The 14364-nt window shown below is 42.0% G+C and overlaps 1 long non-coding RNA gene across 1 annotated transcript in view, besides 1 other annotated feature; it reads left to right on the top strand.

Annotated features, from left to right (window-relative positions):
• Positions 1-14364, top strand: part of LINC00466 (long intergenic non-protein coding RNA 466) — a 158175-nt gene that overhangs the window by 5523 nt on the left and 138288 nt on the right. The window contains exon 3 of the long non-coding RNA NR_038252.3: positions 6989-7040. This is a non-coding gene — a long non-coding RNA (long intergenic non-protein coding RNA 466). The remainder of the gene's footprint in view (positions 1-6988; positions 7041-14364) is intronic.
• Positions 11685-12501: an enhancer, noted in NCBI's record as "OCT4-NANOG-H3K27ac-H3K4me1 hESC enhancer chr1:63764905-63765721 (GRCh37/hg19 assembly coordinates)". NCBI's record gives its function as "activates a minimal SCP1, AML or CMV promoter by ChIP-STARR-seq in naive H9 embryonic stem cells {active_cell/tissue: H9 hESC(naive)}" and the evidence as "EXISTENCE:reporter gene assay evidence [ECO:0000049][PMID:30033119]".

Raw genomic sequence — 14364 nt, 5'->3', positions numbered from 1 at the left:
TGCCTCAGCCTCCCGAGTAGCTGGGACTACAGGTGCCCGCCACCACGCCCAGCTAATTTTTTTGTATTTTTAGTAGAGATGGGGTTTCACCTTGTAAGCCAGGATGGTCTCGATCTCCTGACCTCATGATCTGCCCGCCTCGGCCTCCCAAAGTGCTGGGATTGCAGGCGTGAGCCACTGCGCCCGGCCCTATTTTTTTTTTTCATACTAAGTCTTTGAAATATGGTGTGTATCTCAATTTGAGCTATCCACATGTCAATTTTTTCATAATCACATGTAACTAATTGTTATCACATTGGACAGTTCAGATACAGACCTTAAAAGAGAGGTCAGGACTACAAATAAACATATGGGAGTCATCAGTGTTCAAGTGTGATATGTCTTGCAATGAGAGTGTGTTAGCTCAGCAAATTAGAGGGTGTGGAATAAAGGAAAAGGATAAGGAAATATCAGAGATGGTAGAAAGAAGAAGAAGATGGCTGGGCGTGGTTGCTCACGTCTGTAATCCCAGCACTTTGGGAGGCCGAGGCAGGCAGATCACAAGGTCAGGAGTTCGAGACCAGCCTGCGCAACATGGAGAAACCCTGCTTCTACTAAAAATACAAAAAATTAGCCGGGCATGGTAGCACACGCCTGTAATCCCAGCTACTCAGGAGGTTGAGGCAGGAGAATCTCTTGAACCCGGGAAGCGGAGGTTGCAGTGAGCTGAGATCGTGCCACCGCTCTCCAGCCTGGGTGACAGAACGAGACTCCGTCTCAAAAAAAGAAAGAAGAAAGGCCCGTAAAAGAAAGTTTGAAAATAAATAGAGCATAAATTGGGAGCAAGTATTATCACGGAAACCAAGGAAGAAGGAGTTTTGAGAAGATAGAGTAGTCAACAAGGTCAGGTGCTCTGAGATATATATTTATTATATGAATTTGTTTTTCCAGAGACAGGGTCTCATTCTGTTGTCTAGGCTGGACTCAAACTCCTGGGCACAAGCAATCCTGCTTCAGCCTCCTAAGTAGCTGGGACTACAGACACACACCACCTTGCCCAGCTATACGTGATGTTTATATAGATATTATGATAAGGGTTTGGCCACCTCTGATAGGAATTATTTAAGTAAAGTAAATTGCCTATTTAATAATTATTATGATAGGAATTATTTAAATATAAGTGGATTGCTTCTGGTGAGGTAGTTATTGGGAGTAGATACCATTTCCTCATTCTGTGCATAGATGTAAAATATTATTGTTCAATTTCATTACAAACTATGTGTATTGCTTTTCTATGAACTTATCCCACAGTCACAGTGACCAATCATTTATCCCGACTGGCCTGGAACAATTCCAGTTTAAGCCTGCTTTTCAAATATAATCTTTTCTATGGCCTTTTTAATTCTCAGAAGTGTCCCAGTTTGGATAAGAAATTATTTGGCTACCCCATATGAGTCGATGTAACTTTCTTTCTTCTTTGAGATGGAGTTTCGCTCTTGTTGCCCAGGCTGGAGTGCAATGGCACAATCTCGGCTTAGTGCAACCTCCGCCTCCCGGCTTCAAGCGATTCTCCTGCCTCAGCCTCCCAAGTAGCTGGGATTATAGGCATGCACCACCACACCTGGCTAATTTTTTGTATTTTTAGTAGAGACAAGGTTTCACCACGTTGGCCAGGCTGGTTTCGAACTCCCGACCTCAGGTGATCCACCCGCCTCAGCCTTCCAAAGTGCTGGGATTAGAGGCATGAGCCGCCGTGACCAGCCGTTGATGTAACTTTCAACACTTAGAGCCCAACTGTGAAGCTGCCCATCGGGATATACTAATGGCTAGGGAAGTGCTTGAAACAAATGTAGGTACCACTTACTATAGTTTTAACTGCCTCCCAGCTAGGTCAGGGCTTCTCTTTTCACTCTCTTGATGTTTTCTGAAGGGAAATTAAATCAGCAAGATCTGCCAAATAAGACTGTGACTGAATCTTCTTTGTGACCCCAAATACATCTACATATCCCCACCCTATCCACACCACGAGGATGATGAAGATGATGAAAGTGATTTATGATGCACTTGTTATGTGCCAGATGATCTCCTATGCAACTTACATGTATTTATTTACTACTTACGACAATCTTACGAAGGAGGAGTGCTAATTATTCTCATTTTACAAATGAGGAAGGTCATCAGACAGGATCTGGACCAATGCAGCTTGCCTTCAGAGCCTATGCTCTTCACCACGACTTTGTACTGCCTTGTAATATCATCTTGCTTTTCACATGCCCCTTCCTTCCCTTTCTCATCTCCAGTAGCTTTCTCACTGGCACCTACAACTGAATTAAACCTTTCAATGGGGGAATATTGTTTGTTTTTATAATTGCAGTATTAATTATTTGAATTATGGAAGATGATATACAAAGAACGACAAGAGATCTTTATTATCTAGTCATTATTGCAGAATTTGATATTTCGCTTTTTTATGAGATGAAGATGTGTCAATGATTTTGTGTTTTTCTTTTAAAGGGGCCATAGTTTTTTTTTTTTTTTTTGAGACAGAGTCTCATTCTGTCACCCAGGCAGGAGTGCAGTGGCATGATCTTGGCTCACTGCAACCTCTGCTTCCCAGGTTCAAGTGATTCTCCTGCCTCAGCCTCCCGAGTAGCTGGGATTACAGGTGAGTGCCACCACGCCTGGCTAATTTTTGTATTTTTAGTAGAGACGGGGGTTCACCATGTTGGTCAGCTGGTCTCAAACTCCTGACCTCATGATCTGCCTTCCTCGGCCTCCCAAAGTGCTGGGATTACATGCGTGAGCCACTGCACCCAGCCTCATAGTAATTTTTTGATAACTCATTTTGAGAGCCTTCTCAGAACGGACAGTTTTTGGGGGAAAAAATGAATACAGAATTTTTAGTAACTACTTATAATTATGATCTATTACTACATTCCCCAAAATATAGCAGCTTAAAATAACAAACACTTATTTTCCCATAGTTTCTGTGGATCGGGAATTCAGAAGGGGCATATCTTGGCAGTTCTTGCTCAGCATCTTTCATGACGTTACAGGCAAGCTGTTGATTGGGGCTGTGGTCATCTGAAGCCTTGACTGGGGCTCACTTACTTGGCTTTTTGGAGGTGGCCTGAGTTTATTGTCACATAGATCTTTCCATAAGACTGCTTAAGAGCCCTTATGACATGGAAGCTGACTTGCCAGAGCAAGTGATAGAAGAGGAAGCGCAAGAAAGAAATCACAAAGTTTTTTAGCCAGGCATGGTGGCTCACGCCTGTAATCCCAGCACTTTGGGAGGCTGAGGCAGGCAGATCACCTGAGGTCGGGAGTTTGAGACCAGCCTGACTAATATGGTGAAACCCTGTCTCTACTAAAAATACAAAAATTAGCCTTGCGTGGTGACCAGTACCTGTAGTCCCAGCTACACGGGAGGCTGAGGCAGGAGAATTGCTTGAACCTGGGAGGCGGAGGTTGCAGTGAGCCGAGATTGCGCCACTGCACTCCAGCCTGGGAGACAGAGCGAGACTCCGTCTCAAAAAAAAGAAAAAAGAAATCGCATTTTTTTTTTTGAGATGGAGTTTTACTCTTGTTGCCCAGGCTAGAATGCAATGGCAAGATCTCAGCTCACTGCGACCTCTGCCTCTCGAGGTCAAGCGATTCTCCTGTCTCAGCCTTGGGCATATGCCACCATGCCTGGCTAATTTTTGTATTTTCAGTAGAAACAGGGTTTCTCCATGTTGGCCAGGCTGGTATTGAACTCTTGACCTCAGGTGATCCCCCTGCCTCAGCCTCCCAAAGTGCTGGGATTACAGATGTGAGCCACCGCGCCCGGCAATCACAAAGTTTTTTATGACCTAGTTTCATCATGTACTATCACTTCTGTAGCATCTGTTGGTCACACAAGCCAACCCTGATGCAATGTGGGAGTGCACTATATAAGGATGTGAATACCAGAAGATAAGGATACCAGAAGGATCACTGGGGGCCATCTTGGAGGCTAGCTTCCACAATCTACCCTATATTAACATTGCTCTCACATGCAAAATGTACTCACTTTCCCCCAAGATTCTCAAAAGTCCCATTTAATTGCAGCATCACTTCAAAGTTTAGAATTTCATTGTATAAATCAGGTTCAGCTGTAAATGAGACTTCTCAGGTTTAGTTTCATAAGCACAGCTCCCTGAGTACTGTTTCTCTTGATCTGAAGACCTTTGAACTAAAGAAACAAGTTAGCTTCCTCCATGCATACTCAACATAAAATGGTAGGACAGGCATAAGTTAACTGCTACACAGACACTCCTATTCAGAAAAGGGGAATAGGGAAGTAACACAAGAGTAACTGGTCCTTAGCAATTCTGAAATTCAGTTAAGCACTGATTGGCTTTTCCATGATTAGGTCTCAAAGCCTGAGAATAATGTTCTACCTTCTTGGCTCTTATTTCCACCCTCTGAGTCATCTTTCTTTTTTCACGAAAGATAACATGTTTTTGCAACCAAGTAGCTTTTTTTTAATCTGCTTTCTGCTGGTAGAAGTTTCAAGGTGGGGGATCCAGAGGTCTCTTTTCATTTTGTACTGTCTATGTCACTTTCAGTCCAAGCTGGTAAGTGTTTCTGCCACTGTAATTCTCTTCTGCTAATATAATTCTCCAGATATCTCCTGTCTTCCTCATGGCCATGTATATTGTTGGAAATGAGCCCCATTCCAGTTCCAGAGGTTGAAATTTGCTGATTTAATCCAAACATAATAGTTTCATTCACCTTGCCAAGGATTAAGACTTGGTCAAGTGATGCCATCTGGCCAGTGAGACAGAAGGGGAAGATTGTTTAGGGGTTACTGTGAAAGGTTTTCTTTTCTGACAAAAGGATCTCCAGGGAAGAAAGCATCTCTCTTCTACTAGACATTGGTATGCCTGCATAACATAGTTGTCATTTCATGGTTTTGAGTCTGGCAGAAGAAAAAGATGGAAAGCACTTAGGTTCTTCATTATATAATTGTGCGACTGAATTAATCAATGCTGGAAAACGAAATTTTCTTTATTTTAAAATCGGTTGCGGGAGGCTGAGGCAGGAGAATCACTTGAACCCAGGAGGCGGAGGTTGCGGTGAGCTGAGATGGCGCCATTGCACTCCAGCCTGGGCAACAAGAGCGAAACTCCATCTCAAAAACAAACAAACAAACAAACAAAAAATCAGTTGCTAATTGTGGACATGAATTTCAAGTGAAACCTAGTCAGTATGGCTGTATGGTTGTTTTTTGGGGGGAATGTGAGCCAACTGCTCAGGTGAAGATGGAGAAAGTGGATAATGAGGTACAAGCAAGGTTATGTGATTAAGTGTTTGCCAAGTACAGTGGGTGTCCTTCACAAAGAGGGGACTATAATTGTGGTATTTCTTTTCTCTTTCCTTTCCCCCCTCACCCCTTTCCACTATCCCCACCTCTTCCCTGTGTCCCTACTCCTCTCTCCTGTCTTCTTCCCTTTCAGTTTTCCTCATTCAATATTCCCTTCCCCTTCCTCCTTCTCCTCCTTATTCTCAGTCTCGGAGCTACCATTTGTTTGTATGCATTGCCTTATTCAGTTCTCATAAAGACCCTGTCTAATAGGTACAGATAATATTCTCAGTATTTAGTTGAGAGATTAAGCAACTTGGTCATAATTATGCACCTAAAAAGTGGCCACTAGGCATCTAGCTCAAGCCTATATGATTCCAAAGTCTGTGCTTTAACCACTATGCAGGAGTGAAAGGAACTCTTCCACAAGAAGGACAATTTGCTAGCTGTCCGTGTTAAACTGGTTAAGTTCATATACCTAACTGGTGGATATAAACAGAAAACTAGGGTCAAAGCTGTAATTCTTGTGGGAGTCAACATTGTAGCTTTAAAAAAATCAAATTTTAAATGGTTATTTTCCTTTAAAATGAAGGAAATGGAAACCCAAAAGTTTAAAACAGGATCAAGATTCTAATTTCTCTAACTGGTTGTTTGCCTCCGTACAGACCCGATTATTTTGCCACAGTTTAGGTAGCTAGATGAGTAAAATTTCAGTCCCAGATCCTCTCACCCACCCCCACCTATAATGAACTGTTAAAAGGGTGGCAACCACCTCTGACATTTCTCTTTTTTCCTAGAATACTTTACACCATGCCATGGCCAAGAGACCTAAGGGGATGAATCTTTGTTTACTAGTGTCCTGATTATGCAGTTGTTTAATAGGAGTCATATTTAGTTTTGACAAGTATCTTTCCTTTTTAGAAATAGGAAATTGGTCTCAAAAATGCTTATGGAGTCTTCTGTTTCTGGTGATCTTATCAGTCTATAACCCATTGGGACTTCTTAGGAATTCAAGTTTTTTTGAAGACAGTGCCTTAAAGAGGAAAATGTTTTCTTTGTGATCTGATTTGGGTGTTGTTTAGAGAAAGTGAAATTTAGTTTGGAGGTAGGCAGTCCTCTTGTCCCAAGGCATTTACAGTTTTTGAATATTCACTTCTACTTATTTAAAAGCCTTAGAGGAAAACAGCTATACCTACTTTTTGTTATGTAAATTAATGTACATACTGACTGGAATTGTTTATATAGAGGATTTTGACTGTGGTATTGTTTGCCTAAGGAAGAAAACATGGTAACAATCTTGTCATGCAATATTTACAGTCTGCAAGCAGTATATATTTAGGGAATCTTGCTAAAATATTGCATGACAGGAGATTTCAATAAGCATGTTTAAATGAATTCTAAGAAACCAGACAGAAAGGAAATATGCCTCTTTGGTTCTGAAACATTTATCTCCCTGGGTGGAAAAGGGTAGGGGTAAGCCTTTGAATGATAGATAGTCCAACAGAAAAATTCACATTCATCTGTGGTTTAATGTGTTCCCTAAATGTCTTAATTGCTTTTAAAGCCCTGTAAATAAATAACATTCAAAGGATGTAAATTAATATCCTAAGAAAATGACTTTCCTGATCTAAGGGCTCCTATTTCAAGTAATATTTATAAGGTACTGCTTATAATTTTCAGCCTAGAATGAAGAAACCTGCAGTTGGGAAGCATGAATTTACCACCTATTAAGGTAGGAACATCTTTGTCTTGTTTTGTTTTTCCAAGAGGCTTATCCTTGCCCTAGGTATTCACATGTTATTTTACAAAGGAAGGAAGGATCAACTCTTCCAGGGAGAGGACAGGCTTAAGGAGAACCCCAGAGAATCTTGGATTGCTAGATCTTAGTGGCAATCACAGCACTTTGAAAATGAACTCAACATAACCATATTTCTTTTATTTCTGAACAAAACGTTTTCTGCCTTATATAAAGAGGTTAAAAAAAAGTTTGTTTTAAATTAGCATCGATTTTCTGAATTAAAAGTGAATGCATCTGATCATAATGTTTCCTGCTCTCCTCTCAAATAGTTAAAACATGACTGGGTGCGGTGGCTCACACCTGTAATCCTAGCACTTTGGGAGGCTGAGGTGGGTGGATCACCTGAGGTTGGGAGTTCGAGACCAACCTAACCAACATGGAGAAACCCTGTCTCTACTGAAAAAAAAATACAAAATTAGCCGGGTGTTGTGGTGCATACCTGTAATCCCAGCTACTCAGGAGGCTGAGGCAGGAGAATCGCTTGAACCCGGGAGGTGGAAGTTGCAGTGAGTTGAGATCGCGCCATTGCACTCCAGCCTGGGCAACAAGAGCAAAACTCCATCTCAAAAAAAAAAAAAAAAAAAGAAAGAAAAAGAAAGTTAAAACAGAAATCTATAAACTACCATTTTGGAGAAGTTTTAATATTGAACTTTGATTCATAAAACTCAGCTTATTCTCTCATTCTTGCATCTAGGAGTGACCCCTTCTTCCTCCTCCCCAACACATGAAGCTTCTGTGATATTTCGAACTTTGACCATGACTCATGATGAGAAATACATTTTATATCATGACCCAGTATATATAAAATACATGTAACTACGTATATACATACATGAAACACAAGTTTCACAGGACAAAATTCACATCGTGTAATACCACATTGTTTTCTATTCTAGTAAAAAAAAGAATGCTAGTCAGACCCACAAAATTGATTTCATGGCCCACTAATGAATTGGGACTAACAGTGTGATAAAACACTATCAAGATTTTAAGGCCGGGCGCGGTGGCTCACGCCTGTAATCCCAGCACTTTGGGAGGCTGAGGCGGGTGGATCACGAGGTCAGGAGATCGAGACCATCCTGGATAGCACAGTGAAACCACGACTCTACTAAAAATACAAAAAAATCGCTGGGTGCGCACCTGTAGCTACATGGGAGGCTGAGGCAGGAGAATGGCGTGAACCTGGGAGGCAGAGCTTGCAGTGAGCCAAGATGGCGCCACTGCACTCCAGTCTGGGCAACAGAGCAAGACTCTGTCTAAAAAAAAAAAAAAAAAAAAAGATTTTAAGAAGTAATAGAATTAAAGAAGCATATTCTTATTCACTCTGGGGAATGCCAAAGCGAAATAAAACCTCCCTTCCTTTATGTTGCCCTCCACATTTTTACCTAACTACTTATTTTCTTCACATGTTATACTCAGATCTGGGATTTTACAGACTGAAAGATGGAAAGGCGGCCAGGTGAGGTGGCTCATGTCTGTAATCCCAGCATTTTGGGAGGCCATAGTGGGTGGATCACCTGAGGTCAGGAGTTCGAGACCAGCCTGGCCAACATGGTGAAACCCCCGTCTCTACTAAAATACAAAAATTACCTGGACATGGTGGTATGTGCCTGCAGTCCCAGCTACTTGGGAGGCTGAGGCAGGAGAATTGCTTGAACCTGGGAGGCGGAGGCTGAAGTGAGCCAAGGTCATACAACTGCCCTCCAGCCTGGGCGACAGAGCAAGACTCTGTCTTAAAAAAAAAAAAAGAAAAGAAAAGAAAGAAAGATGGAAAGACAATTTAAAAAAACGACTTTATTTTTTAGAGCAGTTTTAGGTTTACAGCAAAACTGAGAGGAAGATACAGAGATTTCCCATATACCCGCTGCCTGCACACATGCATAGCCTCTCCCATTATCACCATGTCACATCAGAGTGGGGCATTTGTTACAACTGATGAACCTACAGAAATCCCATCTTATCCTCAGTTTCAGTTATCCATGGTCAATTGCTGTTTGAAAATATTAAATGGAATATTCCCGAAATAAACAATTGATAAGTTTAAACTGTGTGCCATTCTGAGTAGCATGTTGAAACCTTGTGCTGTCCTGTTCCATCCTGACTGGGATGTGAATCATCCATTTGTCCAGTGTATCCCTGCTGTATACACTCCCCACATATTGGTCTCGGTTACCAGATTATGCTGAGATACTGTGACAGTATATCAGGGCTTGTGCTCAAATAACACTTATTTTACTTAATAATGGCCCCAGGCTGGGTGTGGTGGCTCACACAGGCAATCCAGCACTTTGGGAGGCCAAGACATGAGGATCCTTTGAGCCCGGGAGTTTGAGGCAGCAGTGAGCTATGATGGTGCCACTGCACTCCGGCCTGGGCAACAGAGAAAAACCCTATTTCAAAAAAAAAAAAAAAGTAAAAAGGCCCCAAAGTGCAAGGGTAGTGATGCTGGCAATTTGGATATGCCAAAGAGAAGCCATAAAGTACTACCTTTCAGTGAAAAGGAGAAAGTTCTCTAATTAATAAAAAAGAAAAAAAATTGCATGCTGATGTTGCTAGGATCTATGGTAAGAACAACTCTTCTATCTGTGAAATTGTGAAGAATATAAAGAGGGCTTGATACTATCTGTGGTTTCAGGCATCCACTGGGGATCTTGGAATGTATCTTCCTCTGATAAGGGGGAGCTACTGTACATTGACAAATCCTTACCACCCAAACTCCATAGCTTACTTTAGGGTTCACTTTTGGTGTTGTACATTCTATGGGTTTGCGTAAATGCATAATGACATATCTCCATCATTATAGTGTCATACAAGGTATTTTCATTGCCCTAACAATTCTCTGTACCCCACCTATATTCATCCTCTCCCTAAAACCTAGTAACCACTGATCTTTTTGCTGTCTCCATAGTTGCCTAGAAAGGAAATTTTTATTAGGGCTAGCTTCAGGAGGGGAGGAAGTTGAAGCCAGGAAGTGTCTTATAGAATAAATGATCTGTTAATGAATGAAACAGCCATAACATGAGTATGATTATCAGATTCTTGCTGGATACACTTTCTTTTTTTATTAATTTTTTATTTTTTCTGAGACAGAGTCTTGTTCTGTCGCCCAGGCTGGAGTGCAGTGGCACAATCTCAGCTCACTGCAACCTCTGCCTCGGATGCGCTTTAAACCTATTGTAGAGGCCGGGCGCAGTGGCTCATGCCTGTAATCCCAGCACTCTGGGAGGCCGAGGCGGGCAGATCACCTGCTGTTGGGAGTTTGAGACCAGCCTGACCAACATGGAGAAACTCCGCCTCTACTAAAAATACAAAATTAGACGGGCATGGTGGTGCATGCCTGTAATCCCAGCTACTAGGGAGGCTGAGGCAGGAGAATCTCTTGAACCTGGGAGGCAGAGGTTGCAGTGAGTCGAGATCGTGCCATTGCACTCCAGCCTGGGCAACTAGAGTGAAACTCCATCTCAAAAACAAACAAACAAACAAACAAACAAACAAAAAACCGATTGTAGAGGTAGTCTTTTATTTTATTGTTTTATTTTTTATTTTTTGAGACAGAGTCTCGCTCTGTCACTCAGGCTGGAGTGCAGTGGCGTGATCTCCACTCACTGCAACCTCCGCCTCCCGGGTTCAAGAGATTCTCCTGCCTCAGCCTTCCGAGTAGCTAGGACTACAGGCGTGTGCCACCATGCCCGGCTAATTTTTTGTATTTTTAGTAGAGACGGGGTTTTGCAGTGTTAGCTAGGATGGTCTCAATCTCCCGACCTTGTGATCCGCCCGCCCTGGCCTCCCAAAGTGCTGGGATTACAGGCATGAGCCACTGCACCTGGCTGTAGAGGTAGTCTTTTATTGTAGCTATACTTATTTTATGTGATAGATGAGTCTTTAGAATGCTTATCTAAATACATTAATGAGAATGTATTTATTAAATGTTTATTAGGATACATTTAATGTTTCTGAATGGCCTTACTTTTTGTTTTGTTTTGAGACAGAGTTTCATTCCTGTTGCCCAGGCTGCAGTACAATTGGTGCAATCTCGGCTCACTGGTGATCTCGGCTTACTGCAACCTCCGCCTCCCGGGTTCAAGCGATTCTCCTGCCTCAGCCTCCCAAGTAGCTGGGATTACAGGCATGTGCCACCACGCCTGGCTAATTTTGTATTTTTAGTAGAGATGGGGTTTCTCCATGTTGGTCAGGCTGGTCTCGAACTCCCGACCTCAAGTGATCTGCCCGCCTTGGCCCCCCAAAGTGCTGGGATTACAGGCATGAGCCACTATGCCCGGCTACTTTTAGTTTATTTTATTTTTTTGAGATGGAGTCTTGCTCTGTCACCCAGGCTGGAATGCAGTGGCGTGATCTCGGCTCACTGCAACCTCCGCCTCACGGGTTCAAGCAATTCTCCTGTCTCAGCCTCCCAATTAGCTGGGATTACAGGTGCGTGCCACCATGCCCGGCTAATTTTTGTATTTTTAGTAGAGGCGGGATTTCACCATATTGGCCAGGCTGGTCTTGAACTCCTGACCTCATGATCTACCCACCTCGGCCTCCCAAAGTGCTGGAATTACAGGCATGAGCCACCATGCCCAGCCAACCCGGCTACATTTTAAGTATAGTTTATAGCTATTTAAAGGAATCCCCTTTTAAAAAATTCACCAAATTTCTAAAATTCACAAATTCTTTTGCATTATAGCAAATAATACTAGAATGTCAACTCCAGAAAGGCAGTGATCTTTGTGTATTTCGTTCACTGGTATATCCCTGACTCCTAGAATACTACCTGACACATACCTGGTACTCATTAAATATGTGTTCAGTGAATCTATACATAGAGTTTCCTAAAAGTTTCCCAAACAGGGACGCTGCTATATTCATATGGAATGGAAGGTTATACAGTGTTGCTGTGATAAGGTCAGCATTCCTTATCATATTGTCTAGAAGACCTTTGAGCCAAGATCACATTTAAAATAACCTCATTAAATTAGAATTGGTGCTTTAAGTGAAGCAATTGATGCAGAGAAAAGAAGAACAAATAACCAGTGGGAGACAAAAGAAATTCTAATATGAATAATAATATCAACCATTTATTGAGTGCTTAATAGCTTCACAGGGAGGGAGGAATATTATCATTCAGTTCTCACAACTCTGAGAAGCAGATACTATTTTTAGCTCCTTTTGGAAGAATTTGAGATTTGGAGGACTTAAGTAAATAGCTCAAAGTTACATAGCTAGTAAGTAATTAAACTGGAATTTGAACCCAGGTCCAATGTTTTAAACATAATAGTACTTGAGGTTGAAGCTCATTAAGATCCTGGAGTCAGACCGGACGCAGTGGCTCACGCCTGTAATCCCAGCACTTTGGGAGGCCAAGGCGGGCGGATCACCTGAGGTCAGGAGTTTAAGACCAGACTGGCCAACATGGAGAAACCCCATTTCTACTAAAAATACAAAAAAAAACACAAAAAAACAAAAACAAGCAGAAAAAGATCCTGAAGTCACCTTATACATTACAGTTTGAAATCCATGTATTTGGCTTTTTTTTTTTTCATTCATTTAGGCAAATGAATAGAGAACCTATAAAACACCAGGTATTAGATATGTAGTGGTAACCAAACAGACATGGTCACGCTCTCTCCACCATAGGGTCTGATGGAGCAGACAGATAAAAGACAAGAAACAACAAAGTACAAAATGTGATAAAGAGGCCGGGCATGGTGGCTCATACCTATAATCCCAGCACTTTGGAAGGCTGAGGTGGGTGGATCACCTGAGGTCAGGAGTTTGAGACTAGCCTGGCCAACATGGTGAAGTCCTGCCTCTACTAAAAATACAAAAATTAGCAGGGCGTGGTGGCTCATGTCTGTAATCCCAGCTACTTGGGAGGCTGAGGCAGGAGAATTGCTTAAATCTGGGAGGTGGAGGTTGCAGTAAGCAGAGATTGCACCACTGCACTCCAGCTTGGGTGACAGAGCGAGACTCCGTCTCCAAAAAACACCACCTCCAAAAAAAACATGATAAACAAGGAAAAGTGTTATGATAGAAAATATAGTATCCATAGTGGATTAGTTTCACAGCCCCCTCACCATAACGAAATCCATGAATACTGAAGTCCCTTATATAAAATGGTGTGGTATTTGCATATAACCTACACACATTCTCCCATACACTTTAAATCATCTCTGGATTACTTATAATACATAATAGAATGTAAATGTTATGTAAATAGTTATTATACTATATTGTATATTGTTTAGGGAACAATGACAAGAGAAAATCTATACATATTCAGTATAGATTTTATACATGCATGTGTGTGTGTGTATATATATATATTTAAATTTAATTATATATAGTTTTTGAGACAGAGTCTCACTCTGTCGCCCAGGCTGGAGTGCAGTGGCGCGATCTTGGCTCACCGCAATCTCCACCTCTCGGGTTCAAGTGATTCTTGTGCCTCAGCCTCCCAAGTAGCTGGATTACAGGCATGCACCAACACTCCTGGCTAATTTTTATGTTTTTTTTTAGAGATGGGGTTTCACCATGTTGACCAGGCTGTTCTTATACTCCTGACTTCAGGTGATCCGCCTGCCTTGGCCTCCCAAAGTGTTGGGATTACAGGCATGAGCCACGGAGCCCCGCCTGAGAAATTCTTTTTTTTTTTTCTTTTTGGGAGACAGAATCTCACTCTGTCACCCAGGCTGGAGTGCAGTGGCATGATCTCGGCTCACTGCAAACTCCACCTCCTGGGTTCATGCCATTCTCCTGCCTCAGCCTCTCGAGTAGCTGGGATGACAGGCACCCGCCACCACACCTGGCTAATTTTTTGTATTTTTAGTAGAGATGGGGTTTCACTGTGTTAGCCAGGATGGTCTCGATCTCCTGACCTCGTGATCTGCCCACCTTGGCCTTCCAAAGTGCTGGGATTACAGGCATGAGCCCGGACAGAGAAATTCTTAATTTCTTACTTGGTAAACCTATTGTATCAAATGAAATGTCAATATTCTAATCAAACTACTCTGTTTCCCTTTACTATTATCTAGCATTCTAACACCTTTTCAAGAGTGCGTGCATTTTCTTTGGTAATTTCTCTTTTGAAAATATCCAGCTCGCCGCCCCCACCACCCACCACACAGTAACTATATGAGGAGATAGACATATTAATGAGCTTGACTGTAGTCAAGCTAATGTATATCAAAACATATTGTACATTTTATTTTATTTTGATCTCTTATGTGTATAGCCATGTACATTTTAAATATATACA

The sequence above is a fragment of the Homo sapiens genome, chromosome 1, assembly GCF_000001405.40.
Source record: "Homo sapiens chromosome 1, GRCh38.p14 Primary Assembly".
Lineage (NCBI taxonomy): Eukaryota > Metazoa > Chordata > Mammalia > Primates > Hominidae > Homo > Homo sapiens.
This window is presented reverse-complemented; position numbering and strand designations above follow the sequence as displayed.